This window comes from Homo sapiens, chromosome 2 (assembly GCF_000001405.40).
Source record: "Homo sapiens chromosome 2, GRCh38.p14 Primary Assembly".
In the NCBI taxonomy this organism is placed as follows: domain Eukaryota; kingdom Metazoa; phylum Chordata; class Mammalia; order Primates; family Hominidae; genus Homo; species Homo sapiens.
This window is the reverse complement of record NC_000002.12, coordinates 176,988,698-177,007,954: the sequence shown is the minus strand read 5'-3', so window position 1 is coordinate 177,007,954 and position 19,257 is coordinate 176,988,698. Positions and strand designations below refer to the sequence as shown.

At 39.7% G+C, this 19,257-nt stretch overlaps 1 long non-coding RNA gene across 1 annotated transcript; it reads left to right on the top strand.

Moving 5' to 3' along the window:
• The first annotated feature begins 15,062 nt into the window (after positions 1 to 15,062).
• On the top strand, positions 15,063 to 18,570 carry LOC107985965 (uncharacterized). Its single transcript, XR_001739799.1, has 2 exons — positions 15,063 to 15,129; positions 17,090 to 18,570. It is a non-coding gene; the product is annotated as an uncharacterized LOC107985965 (long non-coding RNA).
• Positions 18,571 to 19,257: the final 687 nt, after the last annotated feature.

The window sequence follows — 19,257 nt, the reverse complement described above, 5'->3', positions numbered from 1 at the left end:
GCCGGCCGCTCCCAGTGGAGCGCCCACCAAGCCCACACCCACCCAAAACTCCAGCTGGCCCGCAAGCGCTGCACGCAGCCCCGGTTCCTGCTTGCTGGCACCTCTCCCTACACGCCTCCCAGCAAGCTGAGGGAGCCGGCTCCGGTCTTGGCCAGCCCAGAAAGGGGCTCCCGCAGTGCAGCGGCGGGCTGAAGGGCTCCTCAAGCACGGCCAGAGTGGGCGCCAAGGCCAGGAGGCCCCGAGAGCGAGTGAGGGCTGCGAGGGCTGCCAGCACGCTGTCACCTCTTAATATGGTTACCACTTACTTGTTTTTGTGGCAAGAACAGCTAAAATATACTCATTTAGCATAAATCCAAAATGCAATACAATATTATTCCCTATAGTTTTCACATTGCACATTGGTTCTCTAGACTTGTTCATCTGACATATCTGCTCCTTTGGATCCTCTGACTTACATCTCCTCATTCCTTCTCTCCCCCTCACCCCTGGTAACCACTGTTTTATTCTTTATCTCTGTATATTTAAAGTGTTTCCACTTTTTTGATTTCAAAGTGAGATCATGCAATATTTTTTTTCTGTGTTTGATTTATTTCACTTAGCATAATGTTCTCCAGGCTCATTCGTGTTGTGGCAAAGCTTGTTTGTTTTTACGGCTGAACAGTATTCTGTTTTATGTATAGGAATACAATTGCAGGTTGAGTTCCAGATCACTGCAGTAAAGCAAATATTGCAATAAAGTGAGTAATACACATTTTTTGGCTTGCCAATACATATAAAAGGTATGTTGACACTGTACTGTAGTCTATTAATTGTACAATAGCATGATGTCTAAAAATTGTACATAATTAAAAATATTTTACCGCTAAAAACTGCAAACAATCATCTGAGCCTTCAGCAAGACATCTTCTTTTTGTGGGTGGAGGGTCTTGCCTCAATGTTCATGGCTGCTGACCGATCAGGTGGTTGCTGAAGGTTAGGGTGGTTGTGGCAAAATACAAAATATCTTATAAAACATAAGACAACAATGAAATTTGTTGCATCAATGGACTCTTCCTTTCATGAAAGATTTCTGTCCAGCATGTGATGCTGTTTGATAGCTTTTCAACCACAGTAGACCTTCTTTCAAAATTAGAGTCCATTCCCTCAAATCCTGCTGCTGCTTTATCAACTAAGTTTATGTAATATTCTAAATATTTTGTTGTCATTTCAATAATGTTTACAGCATCTACACCAGGAATAGATTCCATCTCAAGAAACGACTTTCTTTGCTCACCCATGAAAGCAACTCTTCATCCATTCAAACTTGATCATGAGATTACAGCAATTCAGTCATATCTTGAGGCTCCACTTCTAACTCTAGTTCTCTTGCTATTTCCACATCTATAGTTACTTCTTCCACTGAAGTCTTGAACCCCTCAAAGACATCCGTGAAGGTTGAAATAAACGTCTTCCACATTCTTGTTAATGTTGATATTCTGACTGCCTTCCATGAATCACAGTGTTCTTAATGGCACCTAGAATGGTGAATCCTTTCCAGAGGTTTTCAATTGAATTTGCCCAGATCCACCAGAGGAATCATTATCTATGGCAGCTATAGCCTTACAAAATGTGTTTCTTAAGTAGTAAGACTTGAAAGTCAAAACTACCCCTTGGTCCATGGGCTGCAGAATCGATGTGACAGCAGACATGAAAACCACAGGAATCTCCTTGTGCATCTCCATCAGAGCTCTTGGGTGACTGGGTGCGTTGGCAATAAGCAGTAACATTTTGAAAGGACTCTTCTTCCTAAGCAATAGGTCTCAACAGTGGGCTTAAAAAATTTAGGAAACCATGCTGTGAACAGATATGCTGTCAACCAGGTTTTGTTGTTGCATTTCTAAAACACAGGAAGAGTAGATTTAGTATAACTCTTAAGGGACCCAGGATCTTTGGAATGGTAAATGGAGATTGGTTTCAACTTAAAGTCACAAGCTGCATTAGCCCCTGGCAAGATAGTCAGCTTGTCCTTTGAAGCTTTGAAGCCAGAAATTGCCTTCTCCTCTTTAGCTGCGAAAATTCTAGATGGCATCTTCTTTTAATAGAAGGCTGTTTTGTGAAAATCTGTTGTTTAGTGTAGCCACCTTCATCAATGGTCTTAGCTAGATCTTCTGGAGAACTTGTTGCAGCTTCTACATCAGCACTTGCTGCTTCACCTGGGACTTTTATGTTATGGAGATGGCTTCTTTCCTTAAATCTAATGACCCAACCTCTGCTGGCGTCAAACTTTTCTTCTGCAGCTTCTTCACCTCTCACAGCCTTCGAAGAATTGAAGAGAAATAGGGCCTTACTCTGAATTAGGCTTTAGCTTAAGGGAATATTGTGGCTAGTTTGATCTTCTATCCAGACCATAAAAAGCTTTCTTCCTATCAGCAGTAAGGCCATTTCACTTTCTTATCATTCATGTGTTCACTGGAGTCATACTTTACATGTCATTCAAGAACTTTTCCTTTGCATTCACAACTTGGCTAATTGTTTGACACAAGAGGCCTAGCATTCGACCTGTCTTGGCTTTCCATGTGCCTTCCTCACTATGCTTAATCATTTCTAGCTTTCAATGAAAAGAGAGAGAGACTTATGGCTCTTTCTTTCACTTGAACACTTAGAGGCCATTGTAGGGTTATTAACTGGCCTAGTTTCAATATTGTTGTGTCCCAGGCATTGGGAAATCCTTATGAGAGACAGAAGAAAGGCTGGTTGGAGGAGTAGTCAGAACACATACAACGTTTATTGATTACATTTACCATCTTATACAAACACTGTAGTGCCCCTAAGTGGTTATAATAATAGTAACATCAAAAATCACTCATCCCAGATCACCATAACAGATATAATAATATAAGTTTGAAATAGTATGTGAATTATAATAATGAGTCACGAAGTGAGCACATGCTGTTGGAAAAATGGTGCCGATAGACTTGCTCAATACAGGGTTACCATAATCCTGCAAAGTGTAAAAAAAAAAAAAAAAAAAAAAGCAATATCTGTGAAGTGGAAAAGTGAAGAGCAATAAAATGAGATATGCTTGTATATCACAGTTTCTTTATCCAGTCATCTGTCAATGGACACTTAAGTTTTTTTCCCTATCTTGGCTATTGTGAATAATGTTACAATCAACATGGAAGTGCAGATATCTTAAGAGGAGGTGATTTTTTTCCTTTGGCTATATACACAGAAGAGGAATTGCTGGGTCTTATGGTAGTCCAATTTTTAATTTCTTTAGAAATCTCCATACTGTTTTCCATAATGGCTGTACGAATTTATATTCCTATCAACAGTGTAAAAGAGTTCCCTTTTCTTCACACCCTCACCAATACTTGTTATTTTTTGACTTTTTGGTGATAGCTGTTTTAAGGGGTGTGAGGTGGTATCTCATAGTGGTTTTGATTTGCATTTCCTTGATGATTAATGATGTTGAGCACCTTTTCATATTCCGGTTGTATATGGCCATCTTATCATCTGTGCTGAGCCGTGTAAATCATTCTCACAGTGCTGTGAGTTGAATTAGAACACCATGATTAAGTACACCAAGTTGATGTTACTTGAATTTTACTGGTTTTGTAAGCCTATTTGTATTTAATTCATAAATAATTTTTGATTTGTAGTTCTTTAAGAGCGATAAGCATGAGTTTTTTTCTTTTATCAAGTTCATGTTTGATCATATTTAGTAACATTGTAATGATATGATTTAATTCAACATTGGGCATGTGAAATAATATATTTCCTTTAGAAGGAGTATATATATTTTACTCAAATTTGAAAAACAATTGGCTAGAGAGGGGGCTGGCAAACATTTTCTGTAAAGGGCCAGATAGTAAATATTTTAGGATTTGTAGGTCAAGAGGCAAATATTGACGATATTATGTAGGTGCTTATATAATAAAAGAGAATGGAAATGTCCACAAATTTGTTATTGATGAAATACAGGTAATATTTAAGTACAATTTTTTTTGTAATATATGTCTACTAAGAAGTATGAATTTCTCTTTTGGGAGAGATAACGTTTTACTTCATTGGGGTTCAACCTTAGTGTTCCTTTTCATCACATAGATCAAAACACTCATGTGTAAAAGCAATTCTTAGCTTGCATGTTGTACAGAAATAGACAGTGGGCCAGATTTAGCTTGTGCTGTGGGCCATAGTTTGTCAACATTCAAATGAGAGTATAAAGGATATTGGGGCTAGGGAAATTTACCCAACCTCTCTGAACCTGTTTTATCTTCTGTGAGCTCTTCCATAAACTGGGGACAGTAAAAGCAGCAACCTATTTGGGCTGTTGTAAAGACTGTTTGATAATTCATGAGAGATACCTAGATAACTGTCTTATCATCATTACATTTCAGAGAATGTTTTATACTTTGAGAAGTCATATAGGTCACTGGAGGATATTGAACAGAAAATAGCCAAATTGAACCTGTGTTTTTGAAGAGTCATCTGGCAACAGCATGGGATGGATTAGAGTAAGGGAAGGCCAGGAACACATGAGTCCAACTAGGAGATTGTTAAAATAGTTCTTAATCCCATCACGGCTACTTGGCAATTTTACCCATGTTGGTTACATCCACTCCAAGCAAGTGGGGAAAGCAAATAGTGGTTGGCAGAATAATGGTCCCTTAAGATGTATACCCCCTGATACGGTGTGGATGTTTGTACCCTCCAAATCTCATGTTGAAATGTGATTCCCAGTGTTGGAGGTGGGGCCTGGTGGAAGGTGATTGCATCATGGGGCGGATCCCTCATGAATAGTTTAGCACCACCCTCTTGGTGATGAGTGAGTTCTTGCTCAGTTAGTTCATGCAAGATCTGGTTGTTGAAAAGTCGGGACCTCCCTCACATCCTTCTTGCTCCCACTCTCACCATGTGATGTGCTTGCTCTGGTTTTGCCCCCCACCATAATTACAAACTTCCTGAAGCCCTCCCCAGAAGCTGAGTACATATTGGTGCCATGCTTATAACCCCTGGGACAATTCTTTGAGGGTGAGGTACTCTGTGATGTTAGCATCTAAACGTAAGGAAAGAATACCATCGTCTCCTTATGTATTCATAGCAACACAGTGCAAGCCAGCATAATGCATTTGTCTTCATGAATTCACTATGGTGACTTGGGGAAATGTGGCTGCTAAGTACTTGCTTCTAGTATGGATCAAGGCAGTTATTTTGTGAAAACTATCAGAAGACCAAAAAAATTGAAAGACAAAACATGAGAGAAAGATGAACTAACCTAAAGTAATCAAATATCCGTGAATAACAGACACCTCAGGATGGTTGTCCTGAGTTTCTGCTGCAAAGTGCTTGTCTGCAATACAGCCTGCAGAACTGTGAGCTGATTAAACCCCTTTTGTTTATAAATTACCCAGCCTCAGGTATTCCTTTATAGCAATGCAAGAGCAGCCTAATATACCCCCTACTATCCAGAACCTATGAATATATTACCTGACGTGGCAAAAGGGGCTTTGCTGATATCATAAAGGCTAAGGATCTTGTGATGGGTGAGATTATCCTGGATTATCCAAGTGGGCCTAATCACATGAGTCCCCCAAAATGGAGAACCATTCCTTGCTACGGAGAACCTGGGAGATGGCTTTGTGAAGACTCAGTCCACCATTGCTGGCATTGAAGATGGAAAAACAGGGCTGTGAGCCAAGGAATGTTAGTAGCCCCTAGAAGTTGGAAAAGGCAAGAAAACAGATTCTCCCCCTGAGCCTCCAGGAAGGAATACAGTTGTTGACAACTTAATCTTAGCCCAATAAGATTTGTGTTGGAGGTTTGAACTACAAAGCTGTAAGATAATACATATGTATTGTGTAAGCCACTAAATGTTGGTAATTTGTCATGGCAGCAATAGAAAATTAATACACCAGTACTATCCAGTTATCTATGATAATGAGAGGGTAGAATAAAAAATAATTCCAAATATGTCTAAATACTATATTTCCTAAGCATATTCCTTATTTTAAGCATAAATAATAATATTATTAATAGACAGTTTTTCTTGATGATGTCACTGAATAAATAATAAACCCAATATTTAAAGAATATATGTTTGAAGGTGCCAAATTATTGGCATACACTGGGTCTTAGCTTGGAAACATGGAGAAGTTTACCCAACATTGGTTCAACAAATTCAACTGATATGAGCACTTCATCCCAGAGGGCTTTCATTAGTAATTATTTGGTAGTCTCTGCTAACAAACTAGTGAGCCAGGTATGGCTATGAGTAGAAATATGAATCAGGATGACAAGCTCAAAGTTTCTAGGTATTCCTAGGAAGTGAGGTTGATGCCACAGCAGGTGACATTCTTAGAGATGAATGACCCTGGGTTTGGTCTGCAAAGATGAGTGGGAGGGGCCAGAGGGAGAAAGAGCCAAGGCAGAGGGACCCAGAGTGCAGAAAGATGAATGTGAGGAATCCCAGGCAGTCCCAGAGAGTTCCGACACTCACTTGACCAGGCTGGGAGTCTCCCCAAACCCCCATGGTTGAGGCTTGGGAAGAGGCATCTTGGCAGTAGGTCTTATTCTCTGCCTACTGCATCTTGCCTTGGCCTATCCCAGGCTCTCTTCTTCCCACGCTGGTCCATTCAGCATTTGGAAACATTGGGGAAAAAGCTATTATTTATATAATACCAGCAAATGTTTTCTTTTGTTTTATAAAGGGAAGGAATATTTAATTAGTCCTTCTGTGGGCCTCATTACTAACAGTAAGTTACCTCAGTAGAGTGTAGAACTGTGGATAGAGTAAACTGAACAATATTCCTAAATATTGCATAAACTGATCATTTCTGACGAACCAACTTGGGCTTAGGAGGGTGGGAAGGTACGTCCACACCTGGGATGGAGGAGAAAATGAATGAGGACGGAGACTCAAGGGAAGGTAACCCTGGAGGGGAGTTGATGAGGACCTTTCTTAACTTTGACATTTTCTTCAGGGGAAGTCATGGCCTGGAGGTTCCTTTCCCAAGTCTGTGAATCTCAGACTTTGAGCTGTGGAGAAATTGCTAAACGTCGTAACTCATTCATTATCATATTCTTAGCTGGATCTGCATAGTAACTCATAAAGCTGTCTCCTAGCAGCTTACACGTAAGACACATAACTCACAGGATAGCTTCATGTACTTCATGGTTTCTGTGGAGTCTTAATGGAGTCTGCTTGATTCTTGAGCAAATCTGACTTTAACAACAAACCCAAGTCAGTCAATATCATTATCATCATCACACCACCATCAGCAGCAGCAATAATAACAAATACCTAACATTCCTAAAATAAAGGGCAGTTTACAAATACCTTTATATGTGTTAGCCCTTGTGCTGTTCTCACTCTGCTTCCTAGCTAGGTGGAATGTTATCAGGACACCTGGTCACCACCTGGTGTGAGTCAACCAAAACTGTGATGTTGAACTAACTATAAACTTAAATGAGATCTTTTTCTGAGGTTCCCTTTCTTGAACTTGCCTTGCACATTATGGATAGAAGGGGAAGTCTGTAGTTTAGCATAAAAACAGCAAGAATGGAAATACAGAAGAGAAGAAAAGAATTTTACATGTGTATGTTGAGCCCCTGAGTTTCTCTAGAGACAAGAGTGATTCAGAGTCAAAAAAGGACACACATACTTCACCAAGATCTAAAATAATCCCTGGGACAGTTCTTGGAGGGTGAGGTACTCTGTAATGTTTAGCATTTAAATGTAAGGAAAGAACACCATTGTCTCCTTACGTATTGATAGCAACGCAGTGCCAGCCAGCATAATGCGTCTGTCTTCATGAATTCACCGTAGTGACTTGGGGAAATGTGGCTGCTAGGTACTCTAGGCTCTAGTATGCATCAAGGCAATTATGTCCTGAAAACTGTCATAAGACTACACAAATTGAAAGACAAAACATAATAAGAAAGATGAACTAACCTGAAGTAACTAAATATCTGTGAATAACAGAAGCCTCAGGATGGTTGTCCTGAGTTTCTGCTGCAAAGTACTTGTCTGCAATATTTTAAAGACTTAATAGAATTTTATTTTAAAGCCATGACATTAGCACAGTTAAGCCAATCAATGTTTTTAAATAGCCTTTTAAAGGTGCCTTTTTAATTGTGCTCTGTGGGAGGGAAAGGCACATGAAGACTGAAAAACATCTAAAAATGGCTTAGTCAGATCTTTCAAAAATATTTGCAAAAGCACATTTTTGCCTTGGTTCGATTGCTGTAGAAGTGGGGTTAACGTATAAGATCTAAAGGGCTTATTCCCTGTGAAAAAACAAAGATTTAACCCTTGTGTAGGTTCATTCAGTTCAGCATCATAGCAAAATATTTGACATCTGCACTGGTTTCCTTTTGGGGCTCCAAGGAGTTGTGGTTTCTGTTAGAGATGGAATGACTATGCAGAAACTTCCCTTCCCTCCTTGGGGCCCAGGAGACACAGAGAACACTCATGTTGTTCCTTCTAGCAGTCCTTTAACAGTCTGAATGTTTGCCAGTGACCACTTTGGATTTATAGTTAGAATGTGTCCAAACATCTGGATAAATAGCAAAAAGTGCTATTAACTTTTTAACTTGCTTGCTGGCACAATGCCCATGTTATTTGCACAATTAGAGCGCATCTCCCTTTCTTCATAACTTACTTTTGTATGATGCTTTATTGTTTAAAAAATGCTTTCATATATATTTTCCTGTTGGGAGCCCCACAATAGTCATGTATGACAAGAAAGTTATTATTAGTTTCTGTTTTATAGATGTAGAAACTGAAGCTTGGAAATATGGAGAGGTTTACCTAAGGTCGGTTCAACCAATTCAACCAATATTTCATGAGTACTGTAGAATGCTTTATATATCCAAGGGGGCTTTCAAAAATCATTATTTTATAGTCCCTGCTAACAAAGTGGTGAGACACATATTTACCAAATCTTCTCACTTCCTTTCCAGTACTATGTCCATGAAATTATGGGTCTTTCGCATGACCTGTGGAATTATATGAAGAATTTACTTCTTTAAAAATTTTCAACCCAAGTATTTGTTGGTTTGGAGTTGCAGCATAAAGAGAGCAGAATGTACAGATAATTAGAGGGGGAATGAATTAACCAACAGAGAAGAGTATTTGGTCTTGCTTTTTGCTTTAATTATTTTTGATTATTTTCTTAAAGAGGAGTCATTTGGGGAGTTTTTTTTGTTTTGTTTTTTGTTTTTTGTTTTTTACCAAGCATTTCATTGCAGTGTTTAATCACAGTACTGTGTACTGCTGTATTGATCTGATATGCTCAGTTCTGGCCAGGGGCCATCAGTGTACACATGCAATGGAACAAACTGACCAAGGTAGAAAGACAGATTGGAGATGAGGGCAAGTGCCTGGAAACTGGGCTGCCATGGGCATCTGTGGCCAGGCTGGGATCACACTAGCAGATTTCAATGCCTTTTTACATGGCCTTATACTAGGCTGGTCCTATTAGCACATGACATGCTTAATGGTTTGTTGTTTTTCTTAATTTCCTGGAGAGAAGATCCTTTTGAAAACTCCAAATTTTTCTAAGTTTAGCTAAGAGGTTCCTCTTAGCTAATGTTCCCCCCCACCCCCCCCCCTTACTTCTCAGTTAGTTTTGATTAAGGGTCCTTAAGGAGAAGTTCAGAGGAACCAGAAAATGGGAGTGGCTGTCAGGCATGACATGTCAGGCTTGGTATAGTATTGAAACCAAGGAAAGAGTCTGTGCTAGGGCAGAAGAGTGGGGTGCAGTCTCCCAGAGCTGAAATAGCACCTTAACTCTGCTGCGTGATCCTTAGACATTTAATCTTTCTGGGACTCCGTTTCCTTAAAGTAAAATTGAGGTAATGTGCATATTTTAATTGGCTATTAATGAAATAACATTATGTGAAGGGTTAAGCAGAGTCCATGACATACAGCAGGTACTCAATAATAAGAGCAGCTACTACTACTATTACTGTCACTGTCACTACCACTAGTGTAATTGGGGTCAAGAGAGCAAGAAACCAGATTAGCTCTGCTCCTCTCCCTTTTCCACCCTCTTGCATCCTGTTATTATGAGTAGAAAGGGAAAGCCCTTGAGGCAAAAAATCACAGTTAGAACCCATGCCTCAAGTATTTTAGCTGAAGATGTAGGAACTGATTCCCAGGAACTACAAGGACTTTACTAATGGTATTTTCAGATTGTTCTACTCTGCAGTCTACATTGGGCACTAGAATTTTAGACTCCAGATACGTTCTCAGTTGTAATTCAACTGTTCAGTTGCTGTGGTGAAATACCTTAGTTTTCTGAACTTCCTTTTGTCTTGTGCTAAATGAAAATGAAATATGTCTAAATCAAATCAAATTGGTAGAAACGTTTGAATGGTACAGGCCAAAGCATCCATGCATGATTCTCATGTGTTACCTCTGTTCCCTTGTCCCCACTGTCAACACAGGTTGCATATTCCTTTTCATTTGTTCTTTTTGTAATAAATGTTTTGGTATACTAAAGACACAACAGGGAAGTTCATGCTTTTATTTATTCATTTATTTAAAGAACTTTTCTGGGCACCTAGTACATCAGGCATTGACCTATTTAGGGAAGTGCTTGGGTTCTCCCAGGCATTGTAATGGGTAGCAAATGAATCACGGGTTCATATATGATCTGGCAGCATATGAACTTAGTCAGTGGAAACAGTGAGTCAGGAAGCCAAAAGGCAAAGTCCATCTCTGCACAAGGAGAGAGACTGAGCTGGGAATGATGCATTGTGGTCTGGGAACCTCATTATTAGCAAGTTGGAGACATACTGGAGAGTGTTCAGAGAAAAGTAACAGGGATGATAAACGGGCGGAAAGACTGATTTATGAAGACTTACACAACAAAATATGTATTCTTGGATCAACAAAGACTTCAGAAGAAATGTGATCACTATCAACTACTCTCTGAAGGTTGTGAATACCCCAGAGAAATACACGATGTTTAGCTTGATATTTGAAATGGTGACAAGGAATTACAGGATGGCAAATTTAACCTGTGGATCAGAGAAATATGAGGCTCACAAATTTATCTTATGCCTTATTGACAGAAAGTGGCATCAAAGGGCAGCATCCTTAATCTATTTTACCTTCAATCTATATTTCTGCAATTGTCATTATATTTAATCATTTGTTTTCTGTTTGTGCTCAGGGATTTTATGTATGTTTCCTATTTACATATACCTTCCTTGAAGATGTCAAAAATAAAATATTTGATTTTTTTTACTTTCTACTTCAAAGGCTCAAAGATAAAAGCAGTTAAAAACAGTTTTTTTTAAAACTGAGGTTTGCGTACTTAACCTTCGTTGAAGGTCATTGCCATAATGAAGGATTTTATTTCTATGGAAAGCCAAATGGGTGGAGTGACTATAAAACTGTTCTTTAGAGCCTTATCTAATCACAATTTATACACACACACACACACACACACACACTCACACATGCTATAGTAGAAAACTTTCAAGGGTATAAAATCAATTTAGGGGCAGAATCCAATCCCTTGCAATTTTATGTATTCTGGATTCCTACAAAAGGGGCCATTTTAGCTATGGGGTGGAAGCGTACAACTTCAAGGAACTAACCTGATTGGGGCCGGGCCTAGGATTCAGGCTACAGAAGCCCTCAGAAGATCTGGGTCCTGTGGACTGGTAAGGCTGCCATCAAATCTCTTGAAATATCTGTGGACTCCACAGTCCACATGGGTATCCAAGTGGTTTCTGGGCAGTGACTCCATGTCTGGATTGGAGCTGGGTTGGGTTACAGGGTGAAGGCACAACCCAGGCTAAGACTAAGAGCTCGGTTCATTTCCCAGCCACAGTGATTTGCTGCGGGGGGTCAAGGCAGGGGCCAGGAGGGCGGATTGTGATTGAAACTGGGATTTGCAGAATATTTTCTGGGAAAGCTGGGACTCAGACCTTCTCTTCTGCTTGTCAGTGCAGCACACAGATAGGAAGGCTGGGAATGCTGGGGTAAATCGTGCTGTCATGATGGGAGCCAGCCTGGGAATGAGGCCCGAGCATGGGCCAAGGCAGAGCCAGAGGAAAACCACAAGGAAATGGAGGCAGAGCCCCAATGACAAATGAGTATCCAGATCAAGCTCACGCAGATGAAGTTCTGCCTGTCTCCGCTGCTTTCAGTTATTGGAACTAATAAGTGTCCTTTTTGTATTTAGCAATTTGACCTGGGCTTTAGTCCCTTATAAAAAAGAATCTTAATGAACTTTTGAGTAAGTACCAAGTTGTGTGGCATAGATCACAATTTCTCTCTAAGTGTGGAGGAGAGAAGGTCCCTGTAAGCTAGGAGAGCAGTTATAATGAAAGCTGTGGCATGGGGGTGGGAGAAGGGAGAGGGCAGGAGGTGACTGAGAGTCTAGTGTCCGCCAGGTTCCAGGCACTGGGATGGGCCTCACAGTCTATCTTTATGGCAAACCTGCCTTTTGTGTCTCATTATCCTGTTTTGTAAATGAAGAAACTAGGGTGCAGACAAGTTAAGCAACCTGAACTAGTTGCACAGGCTGGTGAGTGAAATGTCCAGGATTTGAACCTGTGCTCTCCCCACGACTCCACCCTTCCTCAAGTCTACAGAACAGGCTAGGTTAAGAACATCCTGGTCTCAGTTCTAGTCGTTCAATCTTGAAGTCACTTACATTCCCCATGTCGTAGTTTCCTCCACTGTACAAAAGTGATGATCATGCCCACCTCTCAGGATCGTTATGGAGGCTAGTATGTGGGAGGCACTTTGCAAATTGGGAAGTGCTAGGTGAATGTGAGACATTATTTTTATTGGGGCAGGGCTTCAGGGAGGAAAGAACACTTAACCTAGAGATAGGAGATTAGAATAATTTTGTAGGGAGTTAGTGGGGAAAGGGTGAACTGTTCCGATCAACTTGGGCAGAGGCATGGAACACAGCTGAACATGAGTCTTTGGTGCAAAAGAAAATAAACTGCCTTTGTAGTTTCTGTTGGGAAGCTTTGGGGAATGTGGTCCAGGGTAGTGTTCCTTTTGTTGTTTGTTTGTTCATTTACCCATTTATTTCTTTAAGGACAAATATACTTCCATAACTTCATTTAATCTTCTTTCTCCTGCTAAGAATGAGTGTTCTACTGCATTACTTACTATGTGAAATTTTTCTAGCTTCTCTATACAAAATGGCTTTCTTTTCCTCCTTATCACCTTTATTACCATCTCGTATACTATTTTTATATTTTTCTTATTTAGCTTGTTTATCTTTTTCTTCCAAGAATATAAGCTCCACAAAGGCAGATTTTTTTTTATTATACTTTAAGTTCTAGGGTACATGTGCACAATGTGCAGGTTTGTTACGTAGGTATACATGTGCCATGCTGGTTTGCTGCACTCATCAACTTGTCATTTACATTAGGTATTTCTCCTAACGCTCTCCCTCCCCCAGCCCCCCACCCCTCAACAGGCCCCCATGTGTGATGTTCCCCTCCCTGTGTCCATGTGTTCTCATTGTTCAACTCCCACTTATGAGTGAGAACATGCGGTGTTTGGTTTTCTGTCCTTGTGATATTTTGCTGAGAATGATGGTTTCCAGCTTCATCTATATCCTCGCAAAGGACATGAACTCATCCTTTTTTATGGCTGCATAGTATTCCATAGTGTATATGTGGAGGGCAGATATTTTTTTCCTATCTTGTTTACAGTTGTATCACAGCACTTTGGACAGTGTCTGGCACATACACAGTAGATGCCCAATAAATATTTGTTGAATCAAAGAATGAACTCCTTATTTATGTCTATAATAACTGGGGTGGGCAGTATATGGGTATGGTTGATAAAAAATTTTAGCCTTGGACAATTATACCTCATAATATGCCTAGAGATTGTCAGTAAATGTTTTTCTCCTTGTCCCATTAGTCCATCTAACCTCATCTTAGAAGAAGGATGTGGAAATTACCTTCTCTTTCTGGTCTCTCTTCCAGTTTTCCTCTCTACAACTGCATTAGCCTATTTCTAACCCTCTGCTCTCCTTCCAGGTTGCTGACTTCGCCTGGAGGGACTCTATCAGGTTTGTTTAGGTTCTCTGTGTCACTTAAGGAGGGCTTGTGTCTTTCAGTTTCAGAGTATAAGATCTACAAGACAGAGTTTTTTCCTGCCAATGTTGATCTTCTCTCAGAGTCTAACTTTGATACACCAACATATGTTCAAAGCTTCTCTTTCTTAAGTCCTTCAAAAACAGCCCCCTTTATAGAAGAGGATGAAGAAAACCGGGAAAGAATGGGGAAAAAGAAAAAAAAAGAAAAAAAAATTATACATGTCATTCTGTCATACCTGTACCCCGATTCCCTAATTAAGAGAAGGGATAAAAATTGGACTCCTGATTTATCTTGAATTGGACTGAGAAAGCATATTATCAACAGACCTAATTTTGGATTCATTAATTTTATTTATCTCATCCCTACCTCCTTTTTGATTTAATGATGGCTTGTACTAAGTAACAATTAGAAATACACTGGAATATTTTTATTAGTGCAATGGCTAGAATATTGCTTCAAACGAATGTGAAATATCTGTTTATATCCTCTTCTAACATTTCTTTTTTAAAAAATTTTGTTTTTAATTGACATATAATGATTGCCCTTATTTATGGGGTACAGAGTGATATTTCAACACTAGTATACAATGTGTAATGATCAAATCAGGGCAATTAGCATATCCACCAGCTCAAACATTTAACATTTCTTTGTATTGGAAACATTCACAATTCCTCTCCTCTAGCTATTTGAAAATATAGAATAAGTTATTGTTAACTATTGTCACCCTATAGTATTAATACTATAAAACACTAGAATTTATTCCTCCTATTTAGCTGTAGATTTATCTATTCATTAACCAACCTCTTTTTACACCCCCCTCCTTTCTACTTTTCTTTGCTTCTAGTAACCACAATTTAACTGTCTACTTCCAGGAGCTCAACTTGTTTTTTTGTTTTTTGTTTTGTTTTGTTTTTTGAGATGGAATCTCCCTCTGTCATCCCGGCTGGAGTGCAATGGTGCGTTCTTGGCTCACTGCAACCTCTATCTCGCAGGCTCAAGTAATCCTCCCACTTCAGCCTATTGAGTAACTGGGACCACAGGTGCACACCATCATGCCAGGTGACTTTTTTGCATTTTTTCTAGAGACAGGGTTTCACCATGTTGCCCAAGCTAATGAGCTCAACTTTTTCTGCCCCCACAAATAAGTATTTATTAGTCTTTCTACACCTGATTTGTTGTGAGTTTTTATCATGAAAGGATGTTGAATTTTATCAAATGCTTTTTCTGCATCTCTTGAGATGATCACATGGTTGTATCCTTCATTCTGTTGATGTGATGTACCATGTTTTGCTGATTTGTATGTGTTGAACCATCCTTGCATCCCTGGGATAAATTCCCCTTGATTGTGTTGTCTAATCTTTTTGGTGTATTCATGGATTCAGTTTGCTAGATTTTGTTAGAATTTTTGCATCTGTGTTCATCAGGAATATAGGCTATAGTTTTTTTTTTTTTTCTTATTGTGTCCCTGTCTGGTTTTGGTATCAGGGTAATAATGTTGGCCTTATAGAATAAGTTTTCAAGAATTCCCTCCTCTTCAATTTTTTGAAACAGTTTGAGAAGAACTGGTGTAAGTTCTTCCTTAAAAGTATGATAGAATACAAATAATAAAAATACAAAAAATAAAAACAGTGAAGCCATCTGGTCCTGGACTTTTCTTTGTTGAGTGCTAACATTTCTTGCATTAGGTAAAACTTAGCTAATTTTACCAAATTTTACCTATTTATTTTCACTAGGCCACTCCAGATGTTCAAATCAAATCATTTTTTAATTAAAATATGTATTGTGAGCAAGTGGAACCATAAAGTCAAGAAGGTGGTCTTTGTCAAAGGATAGCAGAAAAAAATCAAATTAGTAAAGCAGCAAATGCTAAGGATTTTGCTGCATTCATTTATTCTAATTCCTCAGAATTTTAATTGGAAATTTCAAATTTCACACACAGCATAAGAGATGGACAAATACTATTAGTTCTCAATATCTGTCCTTTGTCAAGCTTCTCCCTTCACGGCCCATGCCTTGATGCTCTTTCTGTTCCGGATATACATTTAACAGACAGCTCCTATGAGGCACTTGTGCTTAGGTTAAGTGTAAAGCACCCACCTCTACAGCATTCCCTTTGTGGGGCTTTGACTTGGCTATTCTCTCTGTGAGGCTAGTGTTGCCTATGTGAACTCAGCATTCACTTTGGCTAAAAAGAGCACCTGTGTTAGGCTTTGGCCAGGAATAAACCACCTGGTGATAAACAAGGATGATGTGATTATTCTAGTCACTTCTTGGTGCTGTCAAGCCTGGGCAAATCTCACTAGTGCAGGCTTCCTGGAAGGGTTTTAGTGTTTCCGACTTCTGGCTAGAAACTTGGAATATGCTAACAGTGAAAGATAATAGGGTGAGGGAAGTGGTCTGTTAATGTGTGCTGGTGGTGTTTAGGGGAAAAGATTTTGTTTGGGGATTGATTTTAGTTACATGAACCATTAATCTTGGTTTATGACTTTCAGGGAGAAATGAATATTTTTCAATAATTTTTTTTTTTTTGAGACAGAGTCTTGCTCTGTTGCCGGGCTGGAGTGCAGTGGCACGATCTCAGCTCACTGCAACCTCTGCCTCCCGGGTTCAAGTGATTCCCCTGCCTCAGCCTCCTGAGTAGCTGGGACTACAGGTGTGCACCACCACACCGGCTAATTTTTTTTTTTTTTTTGGTATTTTAGTAGAGACAGGGTTTCAGCATGTTGTCCAGGATGGTCTCGATCTCCTGACCTCGTGATCCGCCCACCTTGGCCTCCCAACAATAATTTTTATTCAATGTGTGCTTGTGCCATAGTATTAACTGCCAGGTGAAAGCTTTATTTTCAACAACATCCTTTCTTTCCTACTTGCCAAATTGTGCTAGTATTAATTCTCAAACTCCAGGAATACATGAGCATAAAAGCAGAAGACTAGACTCAGATGGGAAATACAGTCTTTGAAGATCTACTAGAGTATACAATTTAAAGTGCTTACTTAATTATTATCATTTGTATTTCAGGAGAAACAAATGCCAAACAGTGAAGGTCAAGAAGGCCATAGTGATATATGCAAGTTCAAAAAGTGGAAGAAGCTTTTACACAGAGAAATATCAATCAGCCAGCTTTTCATGGCTGATGCCTGAAAATATCATCCACCTGTGTCTCTGAGCATACTTTGGCTTTGACTCCTAGTGATATTACATGTAATGTCATGGCTAGATATTTCAATTTCAGAAACAAATGATTCCACTGAATAGTAAGACATTTGCCAACTGGACAATAATTCATAAGGAGAGGGTTCAGAAACTGTAAGTTTTATTATGAAAAGGTAAGGAAATCCAACCCTAGATGGAGGTAACTTGGAAAGAATGATTGGTTATTTTGTATAACTCTAAAGGGCATAACTAGGACTAACAAGTCAAAGCTTTCAGGAAGAAAATTTCTATATAATGTGCAGAAATTTCAAACAGTTGATCAGTTGCTTTTGTTATTATTGTTAGAGACAGGATCTCACTATGTTGCCCAGGCTTGATTCTAACCTCCCCCACTGCCAACCCCCCGGCTCAAGCAATCCTACTGCCTTAGCCTCTTGAGTAGCTGGGACTACGGGCACACACACACACACCACTGCACCAGGTAAATTTCTAACAACTCAAAGTGTTATAAAGGAATAGGTCGCCTAGTAGCATGGTCAGCGGTGTCTGTAAGACTTCTCGTCAGTCAGGCTGCGGTATGGGATTGAAGTGGAAGATCACTAAGAAATGGAGGGAATGAATTTCAGAATGGGTGGGGGGTTTCAGGGTGTTGGGTCAATAGCTGTCTTATCAATGGAGCTGAGAATGAAAACCTAGGAAAAGTGACACTGGCTCTAGAAGGGAACTGGGCCATCTGCCTTATAGACCATCTGCTAATTTGTTGCTCATTTATTGGTGAAACTTGGGAAGGTAATGGATATGTATGAGCTCTCTCAGAACTTGCCTTGTTGCCTAATGGATATCTTTGACTTTTCCAACTCCAAGTATCTGTAAAAGTTCCTAATTTCCTCATAGACTTGTAAAACCACTCAAACCCACCAGGCCCTTATTCTGTTTCCAAGATCACCTTTCAGGTGTCACCGTGTTGACAAGTTATTTGGAGCTCTATTGACCTTGTCTCATTATTGGAACTTTTCTAATATCTTGAATGCAGATGGAAGGAAAGGAGACAATAACAACAAAAAATAAAACTGCAACAGCATGATTTATTATAGTATATATTTCTCAGAAGAGACAAAAACAGCATCAATGAAGAGCAATCATAGAAGGTTCACAGTTGCCTCAGAACCAATTCAACAATTCATAGGGGGTTGGCATCACATAAACAGCTGGGAAAAAGCAGTTAAATGATTTTCTACATGCTCTTAGGGAGAGACTGTGTCTAATCTGATGCAGTTGCTCCAAAGGAGCGCAGCTAATGACATCTACACCAAATATCAGTTCAATAAATTGCTTCCTTTCATTAATCTGAGTGTCGGTGTCTGCATTAACGGTGTTAACACAGCAGAAGGTCTAAAGGAGAGATAATAAGGACCTGTTTTTAGTGACATGTGGGGGCGGCCCTGTGAAAACAAGCAAATATATAACTGGTCCCTTGACTCTGGTGAATCAAAACCATTTCATTTATTCATTCTGTCACTCCAAAATTATTCTTTGAGTGACTACTATGTGCCTGGTCCTGGGCTATGTCCTCATGTACCAATGGACAAAGGGCCTTCAGGGAGCTTATAGTAGGTGGGGAGGAGGCAGAAGTCATCACCTGCATACATAATTGACTGTGATGAGGGATAAGAAGGGAAAGTATGCATTACTTTGAAAAAATGCAACAGGGGAATACCTTTAGATGGAGACTGACCATCTTTCTAGAAAAATCAGGGCTTTAGGCTAGAAGAGCTTGTAGTGTATGGGCGATTATGACTCCTCTGGGAGTCTAGGCGTACATGAACAGTGTGCGTTTACTATCAAATCTGTATGTGACTATGTTTTGCAGTGGGCAGGCCTAAACAAACTTACCCCCCTCCCTCCCCAAGGCCAAGGAAGCTGAGAGGCCAAAGATAAAAGCTAACATATCCAGTCTCTTAGAAATAAGCATTCAATAGGGACTTGGCAAACAGAAGCCATGTCTCTATCTCAGGTGGCAGTGAGACAAGATG